A 27,574-nucleotide genomic window follows, 5' to 3' on the forward strand; every position below is an offset into this window, starting at 1 on the left:
ATGTGCATATTCTCTTATTTCACTGTAGGAATGGTGAAACTCTGGATCTAGAATTTAACTATATCCAATTTTCATGAGAGTAAAAATGTATATTATTCTATTAAAGCTCTATAAAGACTAAATTTGCATCCCTCCAAAAAATGTAAAGTAGCAATGTCATCACTCTTGCACATCCTCTTTGAAACTTCGTTTTCATCATCTGTGAAATTTTTTTGTGTTTTTTTTCTCTGCTTTATCAAATTACGTTCTCAGGTCAGTCAACAATTGAAATTGCGTACAACTTGGCATGATCTAATCGTATGAGTTTTGAAATTGCACCTGTGTTTTAGCTAAAAATTTGTTGTGCATGTAAATAAATTATATAAAACAAGTTTATAAACATATATGCATGTATAATTATTTGTTCTTCTAATCCATATTCCTTACTTTATTATCTTATGTATAAATTATGTAAAGATAGCATCAGAATATGTAATATAAATTTTTTAAAGCAATCCTGCCCACACTCTAGAAAAGTGAGCTTACAGGTATGCTATTAAAAAACTACTTATCCTCTTCATCCTCTAGGTCCCACAAGCAACAGAAATATGTATGTTATTATTTCATAAGTAAAGCATAACTGTCTTATATTTAAAAACAATGAAATACTTTTCTCTATCAATAAGCAAAAATATCATCAATAATTTTTCTTACATTTTATTTTTATCAAAACATTAAATAGGAAAACAGCCTTTCTTAAAAAAAAAAATGGCCGGACACGGTGGCTCACGCCTGTAATCCCAGCACTTCGGGATGCTGAGGCGGGTGGATCACGAGGTCAGGAAATCGAGACCATCCTGGCTAACACAGTGAAACCCCTTCTCTATTAAAAATACAAAAAATTATCCGGGCGTGGTGGCGGGCGCCTGTAGTCCCAGCTACTCAGGAGGCTGTTAGAGGAGAATGGCGTGAACCCGGGAGGCGGAGCTTGCAGTGAGCCGAGATTGCGCCACTGCACTCCAGCCTGGGCGACAGAGCAAGACTCGGTCTCAAAATAAATGAATGAATAAATAAATAAATAAATAAATAAATAAATAAATAAATAAGCCAAACCAAGTATTAGAGTAACATAACTCAGTTTTCCATTCCTCTATTCTCTTGACCCCCGTACCCTAAACTCAGCATCCTACTACCCTCCTTCAGGTAACCAATGTATCCTTCCAGAAATTTTTGTTATTGTTGTTGTTGTTGTTTCGAGACAGAGTTTTGCTCATGTTGCCCAGGCTGGAGTGCAATGGCACGATCTCAGCTCACCACAGCCTCCACCTCCTGGGTTCAAGCAATTCTCCTGCCTCAGCCTCCCAAGTAGCTGGGATTACAGGCATACGCCACCATGCCTGGCTAATTTTGTATTTTTAGTAGAGACAGGGTTTCTCCATGTTGGTCAGGCTGGTCTCGAACTCCCGACCTCAGGTAATGCACCCGTCTTGGCCTCCAAAGTGCTGAGATTGCAGGCATGAGCCACCGTGCCCGGCCTCCTTCCAGAAATTTTGCTATGAATTTACATATTTACTTCTCATACATATATCTAGTTATTTCCATTACATATTGCTCTGCAACTTGCTTTTAGTTTTACACTTAGCAGTATGTCAAAAGTGTTTGCATGTGGATACATTTAAGTCTACCACATTCAAATAGCTGCACGGTTTCTCATATTAAGGATTGCCTTCGTCAATTTCTACTGCTATTACAGGATATCATAGACTAGATGGCTTGAACAACAAACATCTATTTCTCACAGTTCTGGAGGCTGAGAAGTATAAGATCAAGGTGCTGGCAAATCAGGTGTCTGGTACTAATTTGCAGATTGCCATCTTCTTCTGGAGCCTCACACAGCAGAGAGCAGAGAGAGGAAGTAAACTGTCCAGTTTCTTCTTATAGTGTCACTAGTATCATTAATGAAGCCTCTATCCTCTGACTTAATTACCTGCCAAAGTACCACCTCCAAAATTTAACATATGAATTCTGTGAGGACATAAATATGGAGTCCATAGTAACGATAAATCATAAGTAATTTAAGTTTTACTATTTTAGGACATTTCAAAAATTGCAAATAATATCTAATAAATGTTCTTATATAATGCAGTGTACCGAGTAAGAGTATGGGCTCCAGATTCAGACTTCACTGATACGCAGTAAAGTCTGTAAAAATCAGTATGAGAGTGTATACCTCATACTTTTTTCGACAATTAGAAAATACAATGCAAATAAAGTACTTTAGCAGGACCTGGAATATACTACGTTTTCAATAATGTGAGCTACAGCTATGGTTATATTCACAATATAAAAACTATTTCATGAACACGGAAACACATAGTTAAACTATTTGAGAATTTCTACAGTATTTGGTAGTCATCATTGCTTTGAATCCTACAAAGCCTACCCAGGTTTTTCAGTGGCTTCCCTATCAGAAGGCCCTAGATGAGTATCACCTGCAAAGATCCTTGCTTTCTGCTATACCCCCAAACTACCACCAGTCTCCAAGGCTCCCATGTAAGCCCCACTTCACAGAGAGCCTTTCCATCGGAAACTGACAGGATAGATGGTATATTTGTGAGGGCAAATATCTGGGCTGTAATGCACCGTCAGTCACTTGTGGGAACTGTAGCCTAAATAGTGTACTATTTTAATATTAAATAACTGTCTAGTACCCCTTAAGATTATTCTTGCTATTATTAAATATAGTAATTAATTAATGCAAAAACAATTATTAATATATTGCTATTATTACACACATTTTGCATGGAAAATTTATGTGAGAAATTATACTTTTTAAGGATATTTTATAGATATATAAGTAGTCAGGTGTCTTATAGTAGTTTTAAGATACCATTTCATTTGGGGTGAGGACAGGCTTTTTTGTTTTTCTCTATTGCAAGGAACCTTAACATTGTCATATTGAAGTAAACTGTCTCATTTATTTAGTTGCTTTTAATTGTTTTTTAACCTTTTTACTATTTTTAAATCAGTTTTACTATGATGTTCCTATTTGTTGCTTTTTTAAAATTTATTTTTCTCATGATTCCTAGCTCTTTAAAAATTAGTGAATGGAAGTCTTTCAGCAGTTTTGGATAATAAGTTGACATCATGTCATCAGTTGTTTCTGCTTCCATTTCTGTATCTTCCTATTCTGGGCTCTGTTTTAGGTAGAATTCTAAGATGGCCCCATGATATTTATTCTCTGTTGTTAGTACCATAATTATATAATGTGTATGGCAAAAGGGATTTTGTGCTTTTATTTAAGCTCGCTTATCAGTTAACCTTAAGATACGGAGATTATTCACATAGGCCAGACATTTACATGAACACACTAAAAGTAGAGTTTTCTGGGGTCACAGAGAGAAAGTCAGAGGTAGGAAGCATGATGGAAATTTGACATGAGACATCCTGCTACAGACTATGGCATGAGAAAGCATGTGAGAGAGCCTGTGAGAAGGCGCATGGCCCAGAACTGCAAGTAGCCAGGAGCTGAGAGTGTTTTCCAGTTCACAGCCAGCAAGAAAAAGGAGTCTGCATTCCTACCACAGCAAGGAACTAAATTCTCACAACTAGCTGAATGAGCTTGTTAGCAAATATTTATCCAGAATCTCTAAGTAAGAATCCAGTTTGGCCATATCTTATTAATGTCAGCCTGTGGGACACTAAGAAGAGAATCTTGTGGAGAACACCTCGATTGCTAATCTGCAAAACTGTAAGATAATACATGGTTTTAAGCTTCTAAGTATATGGTAATTTGTTTTGCAAATTTGCAGCAATAGAAGACTAATACAGAGTTTGTTACCAAGAGTTGGGTACTATGCTTAAGAATATCTAAAAATGTGGAAATGGCTTTGTAGTCAGGAAGTAGGTGGATGCTGGAAGAAAATTTGAAAAAAAAGTTTGGGGAGACTACTAGAAAAATCACAGATTTCCTCAAACAGACTATTAGTAGAAAAGTAGACATCAAAGACCATGCTGGTGAGGGCTCAGAAGAAAGTAAAGGAGCATTATGAAGAAATCATAAATTGCCTAACAGAAAGCTTAAATCACAATGAACAGAATATTACCACAAATCTGGACATTAAGAACATTGCCAATGATGGCTCAGAAGGAAGTAAGAAACATATTATTAGAAACTGAAGGAAGGAATCATTTTGTTTTATAGTGGCAGAATCTTAGTAACATTGTGTTCTCCAGTTATTTGGAAAGCTAAACTTGTGAGTGATGAACCTGGGTATATAGCTAAAAAGATTTCTGAACAAAGCTGGTTTCTTCTTACTGCTCATGGTATAAAGCAACAGAGGAGAGAAAATCGAGAGGACTTTTGAGCAGAAATAAGCCAGGATATAATATTTTATAAATCTCAGACTCTTCTGATGGCAAAGGGCCAAAAGTCAAAAGTTGCTGCCGAAAGTTTGTTATAGAGAAAAGGCTGAGTGTGTGACTATGATAATCTTTTGCTGAGATCTCAGAAAGACCAAAAGGTTAGAGTGCACACTCTGTTTTAAGAGATTAAGGATATTTTTCAGAGTTCTTCTCAATGAAATCAGGGAACCTCTAGGAGAAGGTAAAAGGTGTTGTCCCTCTGCCAACTGAACAGAAGCCAAAAATATAATATAAATTATATCAGACAAACATGTAGATATGGCTTATGTCTAATAAAATAAAATTCAATGTAATTAATACAATACCCCAAAATTCTTGAGAAATTTATTGAAGTAGACATACTGTCAGTGTAGACTGAAAGGGACAGAGAGAGTACCAAACGAAGGAAGGCTACTAGATACCCTAAATTCTACAGGCAGGAAGCAAACTGATAAAACCACTCAGCTGTAATGCTACAAAAAGGAAAAGGAAAAGGAAAGATGACTCAGCAGATGGAGTCAAAATCCCAGTGGCCAAAGACTAGAGCTAATGAAGATTATTTGCAGACTTTGAACTCTAATTGAAGAAATATTGCTGGAATTAGTCCAGCAATATTTTTTACGGTTGAAAAATAGTGATATACTTCGAATGTTTGTCACTAACAAAATAAAAGATTTGACACAGAAAATCACAATGCAAAATAATTGTGTTATTCACAAGCTATAATATTTACAATGTTTAAGAGAAAGGGCTCCTGTCATCTTAGGCACCTTCATGAAAATAAAGTTCTTTTCATTCGCTTAAAAGAACTTAAGCAAAAGTTGTGTGACGTACACATTCTTTACTCATTTTAAATTAAATTATATGCAACATTATTTAAAGATAATAGCATAATTTAAATGTGAGGACCTGCTTGCATGCCCTTTGATAGGCTCAAGTAAGAGACTATTATAGGAAGGTGCCCTTGAAGGGCTCCGTAGGGCTCCAGTATAACCTCAACCTACCACACATGGCCATCACTCGGAAATTAGGTCTTGAATTGGAAGGAGCACTAGAAAAGTATGTGTTTAAAATACACTGGAATGAATAATTTTTTTCCTAGAGTATTTTTAACTTTGTTTAATTGTGGTAAAATAGTCATAATGTAAAATTTACTATTGTAACCATTTTTAAATTTACAATTCAGGGCATTATGTATATTCACAACATTTTTGAATATGCTGTTAGCACCATCCATCTCTAGAACATTTTTATCATTTCGAACTGAAAATTTACACCCAAAAAACAGTAAATCTTCATCCCTCTCTCTTCCCAGTATCTGGTAAACACTATTCTACTTTCTATCTCTATGTATTTGCCTTTTCTATGTACCTCAGATAAGTAAAATTATGCAATATTTGCTCTTTCTTTGTGGCTAATTTCACTTAGCATAATGTTTTCAAGGTTCATCCATGTTAAAACATGTATTAGAAGTTTATTCCTTTTAAAGTCTGGATTATATTCCTGTGTGTGTGTATGTGTGTATGTATACAATATTTTATATTTGTGTGCAAAACTGAATTCTAAAGAATTTAATTTTGCAATTACTGATTTTCCTGAGATCCTAAAGGGTTAATGTGCTTTTGGAATTTTCTCTGGGTTTTTGGCTTTGTTTTGTTGGTTGGTTGATTGGTTTTAATTTCAACTTTTATTTTAAATTCAGGGGGTACATATACACACACAACACAACATGCATTTATCCATTCATCTTGTCATGACCACTTAGGTTGATTCCACCTTGTAGCTATTATGAATAATGCTGCTATAAACATTTTATACAAATATCTATTCAGGTGTTCGCTTTCATTACTTTTAGGTATGTGCACAGAAGTTGAATTGCTGGCTCATATGCTAATTCTATAATTATTTGAGCAAACAAATTATTCGAGGAAACATACACTTTCTACAGTGGCTGCCTAATTTTACTGTCCTACCAGCAATGCACAAGGCTGCTAAATTCTTCACATTAGTGCCAACATTTGTTTTCCATTTGTTTTTCTTCTTATAATAGCAATCCACTTGTGAAGTGGTATCTCATTTTGCTTTGATTTGCATTTCCTTAATGATTAATAACACTGAATATCTTTTCATGTGCTTATTGAACATTTATGTATTTTTCTGTGTTTTTTCCTGGTAAGAACATTTGTTGAGAGAAAATGTTCAATATTTGCACTAAAAGATTAGCAGTCTTTGTGGATTTTATATTTGTGTGCAAAACTGAATTCTAAATAATTTAATTTTGCAATTACTGATTTTCCTGAGATCTTAAAGGGTTAATATGCTTTTGGAATTTTCTCTGGGTTTTTTGGTTTGTTTTTTTGGTTTGTTGATTGGTTTTAATTTCAACTTTTATTTTAAATTCAGGGGATACATGTGCAGGTTTTTTTTCATGGGTATATTGTGTGATGCTGAGGTTTATGGCATGGAGGTAGTGGATTATTCTCAGGTAATGAGAATAGTACCCAATAGGTAGTTTTCCAATCCATGCCCCACTTCCTCCTTCTCTCATCTAGTAGTCTGCAGTGTCTACTGTTTCCATGTTTATGTCCACATATATATACTCTATGGTTTTGGAGAACTGATCACTAAAATTGTTTGCCCTTTTGAAAAATAGGTTGTTTGGGTTTTTGTGTTGCTGATAACCTATAGGAGCTTTTTTTATATATTCTAAATATTAACTCTTTATAAGATATACGATTAGCAAATATGTTCTCTCATTCCATGTGTTGCCTTTTCACTCTGTTTTTAGTATCCTTTAAAAAATGTTGATCAAGTCCAATATATCTAATTTTTCTTATATTACCTGTGCTTTTGATATTCTTTCAAGAAGTAATTATTGCCAAATCGAATGACATGAATAATTTTCCCTATTTTTAAAGATTTTTATACTTTTAACTTTTATGCTTAAACTTTAAAATATTTTGAGTTTTCTGTATATAAGGAAAAGACTCATATTTCTTATTTTGCATGTGGTTATATCATTTTCCATTTCTGAGAAGATTGCTATTTTCCTTATTGAATGTTCTTGTCACTTTTGTTGAAAACCCTTTGACCATATATGTGAGGTTTTATTTCTGGGCTCTCTATTCAGCTTCATTGGTCTATATGTTTTTCTTTATGCCAGTAATTCACTGTTTTGATTACTATAACAACTTTGTAGTAAGTATTGAAATCATGAAGTGAGAGTACTCCAACTTTGTTATTTATTTTCAGTATTGTTAAGGTTACCTGGGTCCCTTAAGAATCCAAATGAACTTTAGGAAGAATGTTTCTATTTCTGCAAACATTATCCTTGGGATTTGATAGAAATTGCATTGAATCTGTAGAATGCATTTGGTCATGCTCACAATATTAAGTCTTTCCATCTATGAGCACAAATGTCTTTGAGCTTGTGTCTTCTTTAGTTACTTTCACCAACATTTTGTAATTTTCAATGTACAAGTATTTTATCTCCTTAAGTTTTTTCTAGGTATTTTATTCTTTTTATTTTTATATAAAATGGACTTTTTTCTTATTTTTATTTTTATTGTTACTATACAGAAATACAACTTTTTTGTTAATATTGTATCATGCAACATTGTTGAATTTTTAAATTTGTTCTAACAGTTTGGTTTTTTGTGGACCTTTGAGTTTTTTTCGTACAGCATCATGCCATCTCTGAACAGAAATCATTTTACTTTTTCTTTCCAATTTAATTGCCTTTTACTTTTGTTTCTTTCTGAATTTCTGTGACTATAACTTTCAATACCGTGTTAGAAACTTTCCATATTGTGTTACTGAACTGGTGAAAGCAGGCATCCTTATCTTCTTCCTTTTCCTAGCATAAAAGCTTTCAGAATTTTATCATTGCATATGATATTACCTGTAGGCTTCTCATATATGTTCATTATTATAATGAAAAAGTTTCCTTGTAATCCTGGTATGTTGGGCATTAAAAAAAACACAAAAGTGAACTAAATTTTGTCAAATGCTTTATCTAATAAACTACCTTTCTGTCTGATTACATGCTTTGCTTGATTTTTAATCTTATTAAGTGTTTTTACATCAGTCTTACTGCTTATCAGTCTATCCTGGAGAATATTTCGTATGTTCTCAAAAAAAACCCCATAATTTTCTGTTGGTGAAGTAATTACAAATACCATCTTATGTTAGTTAGTAGTTTATTATTATTATATAGTGCAGCCACTCTGGATTCTGATTTTTCTCTAAGGGGGTTGTGTTCATTGCTGCTTTACTTGTTTCTTTGTTTAGTAATTTGCCTGGATTCCATTTGTGAATTGTGCCTTTCTCACAGAGTAAAAATGCCAATGTCACTGATTATTTTTTATTATTCTTGTTTTAACTTTAAGTTTGTTTTCCTGCGGGTCACTTCAGTGTCAGTACAAATTAGTGGTCGGTTCATGATTTGTGGTTGACTTTAAATACCATGAACAAGTAAAGTTTCCATTCTCTGCTGATAAATCTTGTTTAGGATGGAACTACAATAAAAAATTAGGAAGTTTACATATCTAATTTGATTTCTGCTCTCCTTCAGGCCCTCTCTATCCCCTCTGCGTATGTGCACGGCTTCAAGTTTAGCTGAGGAAGTTTAGATTGCAAGACCACTCCCAAATCTCTCCTATGTAGCCTTATTTGTTCATGCAGCATTCCAGACTGCCAGCGATATATAGCATCTCGTAGACGCTCCTTTTTACTTTTTCATTTCCCAGATTTCCCTGTTAAGCTTCAGCGCAGTCTGCCTGGTTGTTACTTTCCCCAACCAGGACTGCAATAGGAGAATTACTGTGATGGCCCTTTCCCCTTTTGTTTGCCACTGATATTATTACATTTTCAGGCAATTCCTCAGCCATGAGATTATTTTCATTCTTCACTACAAATCAAGCAAGCACACCTCAGCAGCAGAGATGCCAGTTTTCATAGCTTGTCCTTCCCTGACAGGAATTCTAAACACACAGAGTGAGGTGTAGGAGAGTAAGGAAAGGTCCTGCTAAGAATGCTATGACTCCCATGGTTCTTACCCAAGGTATAGTAGTTTTTCTTGAATAAATGCTTTTTAGTTTGTTGTGTTCTTTTAGTCAATTTCCAGAATTCTTTTCTTTTTTCCTTTTTTTTTTTTTTTGAAATGGAGTTTCATTTTGTCGCCCAGACTGGAGTGCAGTGGCATGATCTCTTCTCACTGCAGCCTCCACCTCCTGGGTTCAAGCGATTCTCCTGCCTCAGCCCTCCTGAGCAGCTGGGATTACAGGTGCCCACCACCATGCCAGCCTAATTTTTGTATTTTTAGTAGAGACAGGGTTTCACCGTGTTGGCCAGGCACGTCTCGAACTACTAACCTCAGGTGATCCGCCACCCTCGGCCTCCGAAAGTACTGGGATTACAGGCCTGAGCCACTGCACCCGGCCAATATCCGGCCAGTTTCTGGAGTTCTGAAATGGTTGTTTTTGACAACTTGGTCTGGTTTGATAATTCTGTTCTGAGATACAAAATTGTCCAACCCTTCGCCTCACTAATCCAGAAGTCCTGTCAAAACACCAGCTAAAACACACTTGAAATATTCCATTTCATCACCAAAGAAAGGGAAGTAATCTCAAATTTGTATTATCCTCAGCTTCACAGAACTAAAGTATCTTACACTGAGTTAACACAACTGACATCTTTTAATCATAGGTGAGGGATTCATGACAAAGTGAAGATTTAGTGATATTAAAGATAGAACTATAAATATTGCATTACAGTATTAGAGACAATAATTATAATAACTATTTTTACTAGTGCTCAAATGTACTTTAATTGAATAATGTCACATTGGCTCTGGATATTACTGAAATAACATGAAATAAGGAAGATAGGAATATAAACTACAGAGAATGCACATTAAAGCATCAAGTCAAAAGTTTTTTTTTTTAATTTAGAAGGCAAATCTTTGTGACTCAGAGACAATAAAAGAACCAATCAAGAGGCCGGTGGCTCACGCATGTAATCCCAGCACTTTGGGAGGCTGAGCGGGGCAGATCACAAGGTCAAGAGATGGAAAACATTTTGGCCAAATGGTGAAACCCCGTCTCTCCTAAAAATACAAAAATTAGCTGAGCATGGTGGCGCACACCTGTAGTCCCAGTTACTCAGGAGGCTGAGGCAAGAGAATCACTTGAACCTAGGAGGCAGAGGGTACAGTGAGCCGAGATCGTGCCACTGCACTCCAGCCTGGCGACAGAGCAAGAATAAAAAAAAAAAAAAAAAAAAAAAAAAGCAATCTTCTTGATTTTGCTTTAAAAAGAAAATAAATTTAAACTGCAACAGTAGTTGTTTTAACATTATATAGTTTAGGAAACTCTAATTTTAAAGTATACATGGTTCAACTATGTAAATAAAATGAATAATACTGAACACAGAGGGTATTTCCTATAAAGAGCAACTACAACTCAGCTCTGAATACTTTTCCTCAGGCAAGAGGCCTGTCACACTATTAGAGAGATCTGATTATTTTATGAGAAGACAGTAAGTCAGATCTTTAAAATGTGAAATGTCCTGAAAAAAATGCATTACATGTATATTTCTAAGTGTGTATATATAGATACACACATACTTAACCAGATTTTACACCTCTAATATAGACATGTATATATTTTTTCGAGCAGCTTCAAAAACATGTATCCTCATGAACATCTCAATGTCATGTAGTCAATGAAATTGAACTGTAACATTTTAGACAGCTGTCAAAATCAGCTCAATCCAAATTATGAGTTAGCATAATATTAGGTTTTACATTCCTCAAGAAATAAGGCAGAATGACTTATTGATAAATAAAAATTAGTCAGTTTTTATAACCAATTTATAAGAATATTGTTAAATGGAAGAATTTTCGATAAAATTATTAGAATAAATACCACTTAGCTATATCATCTCCAAAATAGAGGTTTAAGTTAAAGAAACCACCTAATAAAACAAACATTTGTTAAACTTTTACTATGTTCCAGGCACTCTGCTAAACAACAGACATATAAATGTGAAAAGGCCATGGTTAATGAGATGTATAGTACTGCATATGTTTTTTAAAAAAAATATTCTTTTGTGTATACATATACTGCAGACAGAGGAAGAAAGTCGTTTAAATTTTCAATAGTGTGATTAGGCAAGGCATTTCAAGAACAATTCTATTTCTGGTAATTTATTTTTCATTGATAATTAGAGTTATAGGCAAGAAGGTTGTTACAAGAAACTTATTCATAATATAGATATGTAATTTAATATTCAACATGGAAAAATTTATGAACTGCATAAATAAGATTGAACACGCTGACATTAAAATTATGCTTTCAGGTACATTAAATGATAAATAAATATTCACAATAATATTGTGAGGTGAACACAGTGTGTAAATATATAAACAGTGTGATTCCTACTTGATGTTTTTATAGAAAAGTAGATAAGGGAGTATGAAGAAATGTGGGTGGAATTATAGATAGATAAGTAAACATATAGATATGGATAGAGTAAGCAGCCATTACAAATATTTTGTTGTATATCTGATTCATATGATTATATAAGATTTCTTTCTTTATACACTTCTGGAATGTTTAAATGTTTATATGGAGATTCCATATTAAATTCCTAATCAGAACATAAAATTAAAGACCTTTCTCTGGCTACCTACTCTCTAGCCCACTTCCTCATTCTGTGAGAGTTATATGCTTCCTTTGAATTCAGTACCCGCATAAACATCTTTGCATTAAAAATAATCATAAGTGATCATGACTTTATCACCTTTAAGAAACTGTAACCTCTTGAAAAGCAGAAATCTTTTAAGAAGTGTCTGTTCATATCCTTCACCCACTTTTTGATGGGGTTGTTTGATTTTTATTGTAAATTTGTTTAAGTTCCTTGTAGATTCTGAATGTTAGACCTTTGCCAGATGGATAGATTGCAGAAATTTTCTTCTATTCTGTAGGTTACCTGTTCACTATGATGGTAGTTTATTTTGCTATGCAGAAGCTCTTTAGTTTAATTAGATCCCATTTGTCAATTTTGGCTTTTGTTGCCATTGCTTTTGGTGCTTGAGTCATGAAGTCTTTACCCATGCTTATGTCCTGAATGATATTGCCTAGGTTTTCTTCCAGGGTTTTTATGGTTTTAGGTCTTACATTTAAGTCTTTAATCCATCTTGAGTTAATTTTTGTATAAGGTGTAAGGAAGGGGTCCAGTTTCAGTTTTCTGCTTATGACTAGCCAGTTTTTGCAGCACCATTTATTAAATAGGGAATCTTTTCTACATTGCTTGATTTTTGTCAGGTTTGTCAAAGATCAGATGGTTGTAGATGTGTGGTGTTATTTCTGAGGCCTCTGTTCTGTTCCATTGGGCTATATACCTGTTTTGATACCAGTATCATGCTGTTTTGGTTACTGTAGCCTTGTAGTATAGTTTGAAGTCAGGTGGTGTGATGCCTCCAGCTTTGTTCTTTTTGCTTAGGATTGTCTTTACTATATGGGCTCTTTTTTGTTTCCATATGAAATTTAAAGTAGTTTATTCTAATTCTGTGAGGAAAGTCAGTGGTAGTTTGATGGGAATAGCAGTGAATCCATAAATTACTTGGGCCAGTATGGCCATTTTCATGATATTGATTCTTCCTATCCATGAGCATGGAATGTTTTTCTATTTGTTTGCGTCCTCTCTTATTTCTGTGAGCAGTGGTTTGTAGTTCTCCTTGAAGACGTCCTTTACGTCCCTTGTAAGTTGTATTTCTAGATATTTTATTCTGAACAATGAGAACACATGGACGCAGGGAGGGGAACATCACACACCGGGGCCTGTCAGGGGGTGAAGTGCAAGGGGAGGGAGAGCATTAGGACAAATACCTAATGCATGCAGGGCTAAAAGCCTACATGATTGGTTTATGGGTGCGTGCGGCAAGTGACTATGGCACATTTATATCTATGTAACAAAGCTGCACATTCTGCACATGTATCCCAGAACTTAAAGTATTATAATAATAATAATGATTGAAAACAGAGCATGCAAGAGAAATAGAGAAAGAAAGAGAGAAAGCGAAGGGGAGATCTTAATTCTCCAGATATTTTCCATAAACTTTAAACATGTTTCTGTCTTCTTTCAGTTTTTTGCCATAGTAAAGTCTGAAAGGTAACCTGGACATGTAATCTATAAGACAAAGCTCTTATTTAACCACCCATCCCACAGCTGCTGGCCTGTGTCTGATGAAGAAACTTAATTCTTATATTATCATCCTTACAATGAACTAAAACTTGTAAAATTTATTCTTGTATCTTATTGAAATAATATGTAAGTTATTATATTTTTCTTTAATGACAAAATTGTGATGGCTTTCTTATTTTGTTTTTCTCTGCAGCCTCTTTATAGACTCATCATTGAGATGCCAAATTATCACCCATGTTCTCTGTACAACTGGATATTAAAAAAAAAAAAAAAGCAGGAACCATGATCTTCAGTTTTTCTCTAGAAATAAATATCCACACTTGGATATAGAAGAAAAATGCTTAAATGAGGTTTTCTGTTTCCACTGCAACAAAATATACTGATATATTTTAACAGTGCCTAAGAGACAATATTTTAAAGTGGTAGATTTTGCTGCTAATGTAACCTGAAAATCCTCAATAATTAGAGGGTTAGCATATTCTAGGATGTATATATCAAAAATTGTGTTATGTTTCAACATTTTAAGCATGCATGCATGTATATGTAGACACAAATGTTCCAAATAATTTTCATTGTCATTGTATAGATTCTACAGTATTTCTTGTCATTTTTATGCACTTGTCAAAACAACTGCAGAAACATTTATTGGTTAGTTTCTGCTTTAGGATTTTATTTTCAGTTGACATTTGCTAACTGGCTATTAGTCATTTTTTTTTTTTATCTCTAGAAAGAACTCCAAATCCAATGCAATTTTGTCTTATTATTTTCCCCAGTGCTGAATTATTTGAACTTCTAAGGCCTTTTTATGTGGGTGTAGAAAGATAAAATACATCAAACTGAACCTTTTAATAAAATTTCAATGAAGTGATAAATCAGATAGCTATTGCAAACAATGTAGAAGTACACTTGTGCCATTAAATGATGCAAGAAGCTCATCTAGCATAAATGAGTTGTTTGGAAATCAAAGAAACATCCCTCTGTTTAATATTTCCTGCAAATTGATCCTTCAAACTCTATTTTTTAGCAAAATAACTTGTTGTCTTTGAATTGGGATATTTGCAGGTATTTATCAGCAATAACCATGTTTTCAATTACACTAAAGTCTCAAAGTTTGAAAGTACAAACCTGTTATTGTGTATTTATTGACTTTTATTTTAAAGTTTAATTTGTACCAGTGAAGAACTCCAGTGCCTTCTATATTAGAAAGTAATATTAATACTTTTTTTGAGAACATACATATCAGATAACTGAAATCAATAAGTTGACAATATTCTTATAAAACAAAGATTGATAGAACTATGTCATACATGCTCACCTTTTCAAAGGGGGTAAGTTTGAGCTTCTGCATTCCCTTGGTGTTTTCAAGATTGTTTTGATGAGTTTGTTGTTAGTAATATTTTTAATAGTATATTTTCTCTAGTCTTCCAAAAGACCAAATTCAAAGAGATTAAGAAAGAAGTTTGTCACTAAAGAGAATCTTCTTTGTCTAACCTAAGTAGTAAGAAAACAATTCAAGCTACCCCATTCTCTTTTACCTCCTATAGGAATTGAGAAGAAATGGGACATGTAAGCTGCTCAGATTTACTTGGTGCACATCCTGGATCTCTGTGTAAATATTTCCAGCATATATGACACAATTCAAAATATCAAATATTTATGTTTTTATACTTACTGTTAGAGTTCAGATTGAATGGTTACGTATGGAAGTTTTGTAATATTTAGCACCATTCTTGGATTTGATTAGTGTGGTTAAGTTAGTTGTCTATGATAGAAACCCGGGCTTCTATTAGTACTCTGTAAACCTAAATTCTTAGACTATCAAGATTGAACAAGGGATTTTAATAACTGGAAGAGGCAACACCTCCCTTTTTTAACAACACATCACCTCAAACCCATGTTAGGCCAAAAGAAGCTTTCTTGGGTAAATATACCCTCTAAAACTGAAAAAATACTCACTTTTTTAAAAAAGATACTCTTGTTGTTGTTAATTATTCAACCAAAAAGAAGAGGGATCTGTAGTGGGTGGAGAAGACAGGAATTAGAGTACATCACAGCATTTGCTCAGTAGCATTTCAAGTAATTCCGACTGCTCCCAGAGAGAAAGAAACACTCCCTGCTGATAGCCAGGTTGCTTTGAATTTCTTTGCTGCCTTCTGTATTGTCTCATCTCCAGATTCTCTACTAAGTGGGGAGACCACATTAGGGTAAATCACAAAAGCTACTGAACAGAAGAATCTGACCTAGAAATCAAATCCCTTCTACTTTATTCCCCATGAGAATTTTACCTAAAAAGTGGAAGAAAAATATATCTGTTCAGCTGTGGCAGAACAATTTCTCTATTTATGAAGTTAGAATATTTTTTGTATTTAAACACATACCACCTTCAAGTAAATATACCTCACGATTTTAGGGAACCCTACTAAATGTTCTATTTTATTATCTTTGCCATCCATACATAACAGGTTGCTCTATGATCTCAAATTTCCATGGTCAGTCATTGAAAAATGAAACAAAACAATGTTCTAGTGAATAATTATTTTATTTAATCTCTAGAGATATTTTCAGGCATTATTTCTCTGACAGTGAAATATAGATAAACTGTCAGAAACAGAGGTGAAAGACAGAAGGAAAGAAAGAAAGAGAGAGGGGGTAAAGATTACTACCATAAATAAATTATATTTTGGCTTTTTAAACTTAAATATATATAACGTAAATAAAATCTATATATTATTTAAATTTAATGCTTTTGGTTTCTTGATGATCTATTAAATAGCAATATGACTCTAAACTCTGTTATCTGATACTTCAGCAGTCTTATATAGGGAAACAGTGTATTAAAAATATTACTTTAGTGTAAATATGTAGTGAGTTCATTAAAATGGCAAAAGAGCTGAGCCAAGAGGTAATTTTTCTTAACACATTTTACCATCCCTAAGATTGATTTTTTTCATGTTTTAATTTTATAATCTATAATTTTAATTTCTTAAAGTAATATTAAACTGTAGAACATAATTTTATAAAAAGTATCAACCTTGTAACTATTGTGGATTTTGTATCATTGTCATTTCCACTACTCTGCCAGAAAAAACCTGGAAGATTTGTCCAAATTTTGTCTACTTAACTTCCAGTTCTTATTGTTTCATAGATGTGTTTAATGAGATTAGAGCCTAGAAAATCCACATGTATCTTAGATGAAAGAATGGCCCACAACTGGATTATTTTTATTTCTTTATGGAGGAAAAGAAATACATAACATAGGAATGTCCTGAAACATAGAAAACTATTTCAAAATGGTGAATATCCATGAACATGACAACTCTTCCTTGCTCCTGTCACTTTATAAACATTGTTTTTTAAAAAAGGGTACATAAAATTAGCAACTGGATGCTAAAGCCTTTTGGTACTATCGAAATTTTCACTAAATTTCTAAAGATACTTTAAATGTCTCTATATTTCCCCACCTCTTGGATAAATTCATCATTAACTCTTCATTACTAAAAATATAAATTTTCAATGAATCAAAGACACGGACTGAGTAAAGAAGAAATACTCCCATATATGTGTGTGTGTGTGTGTGTGTGTGTGTGTGTGTGTGTGTGTATATATATGTGTGTATATATATATACATATATATACTTTATATATGTATACTTTATATATGTGTATATATACACATATATATACTTTATATATATGTGTATATATATACATATATACACATATATATACTGTATATATATGTGTATATATATATACATATATACTTTATATATATGTGTATATATATACATATATACTTTATATATATAGTGTGTGTATATATATACATATATACTTTATATATATAAAGTGTGTGTATATATACATATATACTTTATATATATATAAAGTGTGTGTGTGTATATATATACTTTATATATATATAAAGTGTGTATATATATACTTTAGAAACTAGAAATAGAATGTAAAGCAATGGACACTATAATTTTAAATTTATTTTCTTTTAAATTGGAAACAATAAAATTCCATATTTGTGATGTATAATTTTACCAATTTTGACAAAAGCATAGAGTCATATATCTACCACCACAATCATGATACGTAACAGTTTAATTACCCTAAAAAATGATCTTGTGCTGCTCCTTTGTAGTTAACCTGTTTCCTCATCCTTAATCCAAAAATTAACTGATCTAATCTCAAAAACTATGGTTTTTGTAATTCACAAAAGTCATATATACAAAAGTTATTTTGAATAGCTTAATGGTTTTTAACACTAGTTTTTTTTCTTATAAAATATAATCCCTGTTAGTGTACATATCAATAGTTTAGTGCCTTTTATTTCTGAATATTTCTTTTCTAGGCTTCATGGATCTGTGCTTTGTGCCATTATTAATTTGTAAAATTCTTAGACCACATTATTCTAATATTCCTTTTGCTCTTCTCTCTTTCTGTTATCCTTCTGGAACTCCAAGTATAAGTATACTTGATAATTCAGCATACAAACAATTATATTATATATAATGTTCAGATGTTTCAAATTCCTTAGGACTATATTATTATAGCAGTCAAGAGAGTTCATATAGCCCTAGGGTAAGGCAGAAAACATATATTTTTGCTCTTATCATACACATGCAAATCATTTCCGGTCCTTCTTTTTTTATTAGGATTGGAAAAGTGCATTTGGCAGTTCAAAGGTACGAGCATTATATTGGAGGCTGTGTTAATCAACTCTGAGTAAATCTTCTCGTCTCTGACACTATAGCTAAAATTGGGCTGCTAATTATCTGAATTAACCTACTGTAATCCTCATACCTAGTTTTTGCAGGTACAAGACTATTAAATAAATTTGGATGAGATAAGTGCAACTACTCCTGATTCAGGTTTTTAAAGGAGGTATTCATCTATGCTCTTCTACCAGGGAGGTGACATTGTATTGTATTTACTAATTTTCTTCAGGCTACATGTATGTGTGTGGAGATTGGGGTAGGAAGAGTGTCTTAGAAGTTTCCACTTGGCTTTTAATGCTGTGATAACTCTTACCCTATGGACCAAGGAACTAAGAAATGTGTGGTTTCTATCAACTAACAAATGTATCTATTCCAATCATCTATTTAGGAACTAGAAAAATGGTGTGAGTAGACCAACAGACTTTCCTGTAAGCCAGATATAAGGCAGGATTCCATTTATTACTTGATCTTACATGTCTTCACTATAAAAGAAGGTCTATGGTAATATGAGCCTGGATATCCATGACATCTCAGATTCTGTGCCAAATATTCTGAAAATGGTTAGGTGTATACCTTTTCTTACATTACAGGTACCATAGTAAATAGCCATAAGTCTCTGATGAATGAACATTGAAATATTTACTGTAAATAATTCCTGTGGTGTTAGAAGGTCGTACCTTCCCTTCGATGTAGTTCTAATAACTGACTCAGGTTTGACAACTGGGCAAGAGGTCATTACTTGTTATTCAGGACATTACCATCAGTCCTGATGATAAATCCTTGTATTATCACGTTTAAACCTTTTATTTGTAAGGATTGAGAAATATTACAGTTGGACGTCACTCTGTCTTGCTTCTGTAATGCTATTTTCTAATAACTCCAAAATTCCATTTATATGTTGTTACCTGATGTTAATTATTGATCTGGTGGCAGGGGAGGATGGTGAAAATAGATCCTGTACGCATTGCATGGCAGAAGCTTCTGCAACCTGTATAAGCAAGAGGGGGAAGTAGCTTTTAACAGGAAAAAAAAGGGGGGCTTCTTTTGCAGACCTATAGATCTCAGGAGGATCGAGAATTTCAAGATTGTAAAGGGTACTGATTTCAGACAACCCCATCCAGAGATTTTTTTGATATTCTTTCCCAGTCAAGCAGTCAAGACTTTGACCTTGATGTAGCAGTCTGGTTAGTGTAGAAAATGCAAGAAATTTCTGTTACTTAGGCCACCCAGTGTGTAGTATGTTATTGCTGGAGCCCTAACAAACAGAGGGAACCAATTGTGACTATTAATTTTCTACATTAGGATTCTTGGTTAGAAGTTGAAAAATTCATTTTACCTACCTTAAAAACAGAATGCAACTTATAATCAAAGATTCAATAGTGTGTCAAGGAAGACAAGGGAACTGAGGTGGGACATTGTGAGTGAATAGGTTCTGGGAACAAATACACAGATACAGGGCTCCTTGAATTTCTTTGTCCACCTCTTCTGTTGTTTCATTATCTGTCTCTGCTAATCGGCTTCTTTTGAACTAATAGGCCCACATGGTGAGAAGCATGGCATCTAAATACCTCTGGGAAACAGAATCCCATCTCTCTCTTTCTCTCCCTCATTTACTTTATAAATTTCAGTTCCAGGAAAAGGGTTTTTGATTAAGCAAGTGCCCCTACCTCAGCTATTGAACTGTGCCCTGAGGTGTTGCCAGTAAGTCTTATGTATTACAGATTAAGAGAAAGGACAGGTCTCCTTCAAAAAGGGAGACAGGAAGACTTTGGGTAATCTGCTAGATGTACACTACTTACACTGTGTTTGGTTGAAAGATTTGAGTAGTCATTTTTTACTTATTCCAAGCACCAGTAACTTGAAAACTTTGAAGAATAAACCTTTAGAAGGCCATAGTAATAACAACAGCAATAATGCTATATCTATCTATCGTCTATCCATCCACCTAATTATATTTATTCACTTCAGTGCACTTATGTTTGTGTCATCTAATTTAATTCTAGCCAAAAACTGATGAAATCTTTAAAACAATTATAATCATTAGGCTGGTGAAAAGACTGGGCTCATATACACACATATATGTCTCCAAAAGATCTGTTTAGAATGAGGCATTGTGAAGAATAAAGGTTTCAAGTATCTTACTCAAGTAATTAGCCCAGAAGTAGTGGAACTGCACCATATTAGGATTCTAGAGTCCTTGATTATGACACCAATCATGACAGTATTTATAAAACTGTAACATCTGTCTTTATAAAATAATGTCTGTTTATGACTCTTTAAATCATTTCTTTTGGCATTCTCACTGACTCTTGTGTACCTTAACTTTTTTTATTTTGAAACATTAGTCGAGTTTATATTAAAACATATTATAAATTATCACCAATGGATGCTTTTATGCTATGATATCTTCACTGGAATTTTCTCATTTGTTTTATGTTTAAACAATTTTGTGCCTGCATCAACTGGAGATAAACACATCTCTGTTAACTAATATTTTAGAGGCATTTGAATGTCATTTGAGTTTTTACTTATAAAACAAGAAAAGAATAGAAAACTCAACCCAAGTTCATGGAATATTTATATTCTCCATCTGCATGCCACTCATTGTGTAAACACAGAAATTGTCAAATGAAGCAGCAAAACATAGGGCCTTTATAAAGTGCTATTCCCTGCTGAGCAGATTCTTGGAAACACTGCGAGTCTTGCAAGAAATATGAAGGGAGTCTTCTTTGAAACAAGCATGATATTCCATGCTGAGACAAATCACACTCACAGGGTATATGAACATTGAAATTAGAATTACAAACCAGAAGCAAGAAACTCTAGCTAGAGATTCTACATCCAAATAAATATGAAGAAAAATGTTAGTGTTTAGAAAAATGTAAAACACAAAATAAAGCAAATAGAACAACAACAACAACAAAAATACTAAGGGTTATATATTGTTATCACTTAAAAAAATAAAAGATATCCTGTTCTGACTATGTTGATAAGTGCACGCCTATAAAATGTGAATATTGAAGGTATAACAATTGCAAACCTAATTAGATGAACCAGATGTGAATATGGTAAAAGCCATTTCAGGAAAAACTAGTTTCGGCATGCTGGCTGTTTAAACCTTCCTATCTCCTCTTTCTGAAGTGAATGTCAAATATAAACATCCTTAATATAAAAAAGTGTAGCTCATATCATTTTAGAGCATTTTTTGTTTATGGTCTCTGCATAGATTTGTATGTTTTTAAGTGACTAAAGTTTTGTAAAATATTGTCTTCCCAGAGTTCTATGTAACTTGCAGTAATATTAAACCTACACACTCCTGCAAATGAAAGATGAAAAATAAGTGAATCATAAAAGCTTAAAAACTAATTATAACAAAATGGATTCCAAACAAAATTATCAAATTAGAAGATAAGTAGATATAATGATACATTTATTTTTACCATAAAGCTTCTTCAAATAAGGAGTATAATTTTTTTTCTATATTCTCCACAAATACATCAAACTTCAGTGTAACATATGGACTAAGTGGAACAAATAAAATCTAAACATGTATCTAATATGTTATATGTGACAAAGCTGTGAGAAATTAATTCCAGTATTGTGATTTATCTGAGAAATTATGCAAATATTGCTCATTATAATCAATTATTAGAAATGTCTAACTTATAACAAGGGCAAAAAATTGTGAAAAAATAATATAATTATGGTTTACACTTATGACATAAGCTAGGCAACCAGGATACTTTATTTTCCTGTTTAATTGTATGGTATTACTTTAGGATTGTATGAATAAAGCAATAAAAAATAAGGTGCACTGGAAAATATTTCAGCTACTAACTGAATATAAGAAACGTTTGTATACAATTTGAATGATTTAAAGGCATTACTATCAGAGTGTTTTAAATATAATAGAGTTTTATATAATCCAGGTCAATCACAATAAATATTAAAATAATATGTAAGGTTACATAGTAAAAAAAACATTTCTTTATTGTTTCTTGAGAATTAATGTCTGTTCACTTATCCAATCTTTACAGACTCTTTAACACAGAATTTCTTCTAGTGACTATGGGAAATAAGGTACAGCCTTGTCTTTGATGTACATATGGTAAAGTTAGAAAGATAATTTAAAATTTTAATTTTTGTTTTTTTAGAGACAGGGTCTCACTCTCTTACACAGATAAGAGTACAGCGGCGTGAACATGGCTCACTGGAGCCTCAACCTCCTGGACTCAACCGTTCTGCCTGCAGAGCCTCCCAAGTAGCTAGGACTATGGGTACACTCCATGCCTGGCCTTTTTTTTTTTTTTTTTTTCTGCAGAGATGAGGGGTCTCGCTGTGTTGCACAGGCTGGTCTCAAACTCCTGTCCTCAGGCATTCCCACTGTCTTAGCCACCCAAAGTGCTGGAATTATAGGCATGAGCCAGCAGGCCCAGCCAATTTATACAATATAATGATGTTCTATGGATTGCTATGAATAAATGTTATCTTGAAATTATACAGTATTTAGGAAAGCATGTAAAGAGACAAAAGAGTATAGGTTGTGAGGGTAACATTTACAAAGATAGTGCAGTTGGTGAAATAAAGCATGAAAAAGGCATTGGGCATAAGCAAAATGGACTGGAAGAGAAGCGATCTGGATAACACCAAAGATTATGTTAGACCAAAGTGTCATACACCTGAGAGGGAAGAAGAAAAGCAGCATGTGGTAATATAGAAGATATAATGGTTATTCACACAGGTTCTGAAAATGTATTTCCTGGTTTCAGATCAGGCTCTCCCTCTTACTGACATTGATTAGTCAGCTTAAACTCTATATGGTTTGGTTTTCTCCTGTATAAAATGGGGGTAATATTTTCTGTCTCATGGGATAGTTGTGAAGATTAAAGTTTATATATATACATATATATATGTTACATATATGTGTGCATATATACACACTCATATATATACATATATATAAACATAAAATGCTTATACCACTAAGTGACATACTGTAATTATCTGGTAGTCTATAATAAATTATTAACATCGTTATTAAATTATTTATTTATTTTGACACAGAGTTTCACTCTGTCTCCCAGGCTGGAGGGCAATGGTGCTATCTCAGCTCATTGCAACATCTGCCTCCTGGGTTCAAATGATTCTCCTGCTTTAGCCTCCTGAGTAGCTGGGATTACAGGCACCTGCCACCATGCACAGCTAATTTTTTTATATTTTTAGTAGAGATGGTGCTTCGCCATGTTGACCAGGCTGGTCTCGAACCCCTGACCTCAGGTGATCCACCAGCCTTGGCCTCCTAAAGTGCTGGGATTACAGGCATGAGCCACCATGCCCAGCTCATATGCTATAACGAATTATTAAATATAATGTAGTTTGACGGAGGCAGAACTTCCTTTAATGGCAAAGTGAAGATATCTGTAAATTTTCTCCCCCATATTATTAACAAAAATTCTTAAAGAATTATCAAAGCCATTTTTTTTCAGATCTCCAAAAATTAACCAAAGTTTAAAACAATTTAAAAATGATTTCTTCAAGAAAAAAGCTAAACTACAGTACAAACACAGGGATTTGTGATACTTAAACTTGGCCCACTACTGCTTTGCTCTTCCCAGCTCTGTGACAGCCTTGAAAATTAGCAGTTTTATGACAAAAATAGTTATAAAAAGCATTAGCTTCAGAGCCATAGGCAAGGTTAGATGGGTTCAGAGTTCTCTAAAATACCTTTTAAATATCTGGCCTATCACACAGTTCCTGAAAAATCTCTACTGAGAGAGCACTGTGATTATTTGACCTAATCCAGAGCTTGCTGAATAAGAAAAGCCTTACCCTCAGTGTGGTAGCTGAAAACAATCAGCTGCAGCTTTTTTTTTTTTTAATTTCCACTTTTTAATGGTGTAAGATGATGAACTAGATATGGTCAGGAAACGCTTCTATTACTAAGAGGCAAGACCACCAAGAATACTGGCACAATCCAAACAGATCTTTGAAATCAAGGCATTGAGAGTCATCGAAGGGATGCAGATCCCAGATTCAAAGGGGAAGAAGCTGGGAACCCTACATGTGGTTGCCAAGCATGAGGGCTTGTTCCGGACCCTGAGCAGTTTCTGGGGATGTGGTGAGTGAAAGAGGTGTGGAGTGGCACATTCTTGCCATGGACCTTCAGAATCTTAGCTGCAGGAAACCCCATGACCCATATGAACACTTGAGTGGGTAGGGAGAACTGCCCAGAAAATTGACAAGAGACAGAGCTCCAGCTTGAACAGAGCCAACAGAGCTAGGCGAAGGAACGACTGCAGTGGAGCATGGCCAAGGGCACCTATCCCTCAAAGATTGCCATGCTCCTCTAGGTGGCTTTAGCATTTGTTGGATGCCAGACCTGCTCAGAGAAGGGCTATGTGGCCTGTGGGGTGGGGCCAATCTGATCCGAGTTCTCCCCATGTCTGCTGGCCTCTCCAAGGGTTCCTGCCTGGCTGCTTGTAGCAGTTTCGGCTGCCCAGAGGAAGCACTTGCCAGAGGCCACTACCATACCTCTTTCACCAGCAGACACCACCTAACATTTGAAGACCTTCTGCACAGGGGCCTCCACTGGCACACATGTGCATGCAGCCCTCTCCATGCTACTTTGCTAGTGTGAGCTCATGAGCTGTCACCACCACTGTCCCCCTGCTGATGTACACTCATGTGAGGAAATCTCTCCATCGTGCTGCTGCTTCACCAAGTGCATTTGTAGGCACATCTGATCAGAGTTTGTCACCAGTGGACTGGGAACACCTCGAACCTTTAGACACAGCAGATGTTTAACACGAAGGGGCAAGAGAAAAAGCCATAGGCATGGGTTCCAGCTCCCGCAGTTAGAGCACACAGCCCAGGAGTGCTTAGCTGAGCCCAGGCTCCATCCAGATATAAAGCCATCAAGGAAACCCAATTTATACCACAGTGAAACCCTCAGGGCATCAAAGAATACAAAAGCAAAAAGACTTATTCAAAGGACAGTAACATCAAATATTAAAGAAATATCAGGGCACACAGATGAGAAAGGACCAATGCAAAACCTCTAGCATCTCTAAAAACCACAGTGCCTTCTTACCTCCAAACCATAGTCTCCCCAGCAATAGTTCTTAACCAGACTGAAATGGCCAAAAGGACAGACATAGAATTCAGGATCTGGATGGCAATGAAGATCATTGAGATTAAGAGGAAAATTAAAAGCCAATCCAAGGAATCTAAGGAATTCAATAAAACAATACAAGAGATGAAAGATGAAATAGCCATTTTAAGAAAGAACCACACAATGATAGTGAGAGTACTGAGAGACTTCAACACCCCACTGACAATGTTAGACTAACCATCAAAGCAGAAAATTAACAAAGATATTTGAGACCTAAACTTTGACACTTGGCCAAAGGGACCTAACAGAAATCTATAGAATATTCTAACCAACATCAATGGAATATATATTTATTTCATCTGTGCATGACACATACTTTAAGATTCACCACACACTGGTCTATAAAGCAATTCTAAAACAAACAAACAAATAAAAAAACCCAAATCAGAACAACCCAGATCATAGTGCAATAAAAATAGAAGTCAATGGCAGTAAGATCTCTCAAAACCATGCAACTAAACAGAAATTAACCTGTTCCTGAATGGCTTTTGAGTAAACGATGAATTTAAGGCAGAAATCAACAAATTCTTTGAAATTAATGAAAACAAACATACAACATACCAGAATCTCTGGGAGACAGGTAAAAAAGTGTTAGAAGGAAAGCTTATAGCACTAAATGCCTATATCGAAAAGTTAGAAATCTCAAATTAACAACTTAACATCACACATAGAGAAACTAGAAAAATAAGAGGAAACCAAGCCCAAAGCTAGCAAAAGAAGTAACCAAAATCAGAGCTAAATGTAATGAAATTGATGGAAAAATCCACATGAAACATCAATAAAACCAAAAGTTTATTATTTGAAAGAATAGGCCGGGCATGGTAGCTCAGGCGTGTAATCCCAGCACTTTGGGAGGCCAAGGCGGGCTGATCATGAGGTCAGGAGTTCAAGACCAGCATGACCAACATGGAGAAACCTCGTATCTACTAAAAAATACAAAAAATAGCAAGGCGTGGTGGGGTGCAACTGTAATCCCAGCTGCTCAGGAGGCTGAGGCAGAAGAATCGCTTGAACCCAGGAGGCGGAGGTTGCAGTGAGCGGAGAATACATCATTGCACTCCAGTCTGGGCAACAGAGCAAGACTCTGTCTCAGGAAAAAAGTAAAAAAAAAGAGTGGCTCACGCTTGTAATCCTAGCACTTTGGGAGGCCGAGGCGGGTGGATCACGAGATCAGGAGATCGAGACTATCCTGGCTAACATGGTGAAACCCCGTCTCTACTAAAAATATGAAAAATTAGCTGGGCGTGGTGGCGGGCGCCTGTAGTCCCAGCTACTCGGGAGTCTGAGGCAGGAGAATGGCATGAACCTGGGAGGTGGAGCTTGCAGTGAGCCTCGATCGTGCCACTGCACTCCAGCGACAGAGCAAGACTCCGTCTCAAAACAAAAAAAAAAAAAAGAATAAGTAAGACTGAAAGATCACTAGGAGACTAATGAAGAAAAAGAGAGAGGCAAATCAAATAAACACATCAGAAATAACAAAGGTAATTTTTATACTAATCACACAAAAATAAAAAAGTAAATCCTTAAAGACTCTTGTGAACATCATTTATGCACACAATCCAGAAAACCTACAAGAAAAGGATAGATTCCTGGAAAAAAATACAGCCTCCCAAGACTGAACTATAAAGAAATTGAATACCTGAACAGAACAACAATGACTTCCAAAAATGAAGAGGTAATAAAAAAGCATATCAAGGAGAAAAAACCTGGAACATACAGATTCACAGTTGAATTCTACCAGACATATAAACAATTGCTGATACAAATCCTACTGAAAATCTTCTCCAAAAATCAATGAAGGAGGACTCCTTCCTAACTCATTCTATGAAGCCAGCGTCATTCAGGTGTAGAGAAACAACACAAACAAAACTTCAGGTCAATATCCTTGTTGAACATAGATGCAAAAATCCTCAACAAAGTACTAACAAATTGACTTCAGCAGCACATCAAAAAGCTAATGCACCACATTCAAGTAGGTTTTATTCCTGGGATGCAAAGTTGGTTAAACATACGGAATAACAGTGGAAATCAATAAATGTGATTCAGCACATAAGCAGAACAAACAACAACTACAACAAAAAACCCA

At 34.6% G+C, this 27,574-nt stretch overlaps 1 long non-coding RNA gene across 1 annotated transcript in view, besides 1 other annotated feature; it reads left to right on the forward strand.

The window, feature by feature from the left end:
- Positions 1 to 13,870, forward strand: part of LINC01701 (long intergenic non-protein coding RNA 1701) — a 39,450-nt gene extending 25,580 nt beyond the window's left edge. Inside the window, exon 4 of the long non-coding RNA XR_001737811.1 lies at positions 13,784 to 13,870. This is a non-coding gene — a long non-coding RNA (long intergenic non-protein coding RNA 1701). The remainder of the gene's footprint in view (positions 1 to 13,783) is intronic.
- Positions 9,718 to 9,918: a silencer, noted in NCBI's record as "peak549 fragment used in MPRA reporter construct". NCBI's record gives its function as "represses an SCP1 promoter by STARR-seq MPRAs in K562 erythroleukemia cells {active_cell/tissue: K562}" and the evidence as "EXISTENCE:reporter gene assay evidence [ECO:0000049][PMID:32103011]".
- Positions 13,871 to 27,574: the final 13,704 nt, after the last annotated feature.

The sequence above is a fragment of the Homo sapiens genome, chromosome 1, assembly GCF_000001405.40.
Source record: "Homo sapiens chromosome 1, GRCh38.p14 Primary Assembly".
Lineage (NCBI taxonomy): Eukaryota > Metazoa > Chordata > Mammalia > Primates > Hominidae > Homo > Homo sapiens.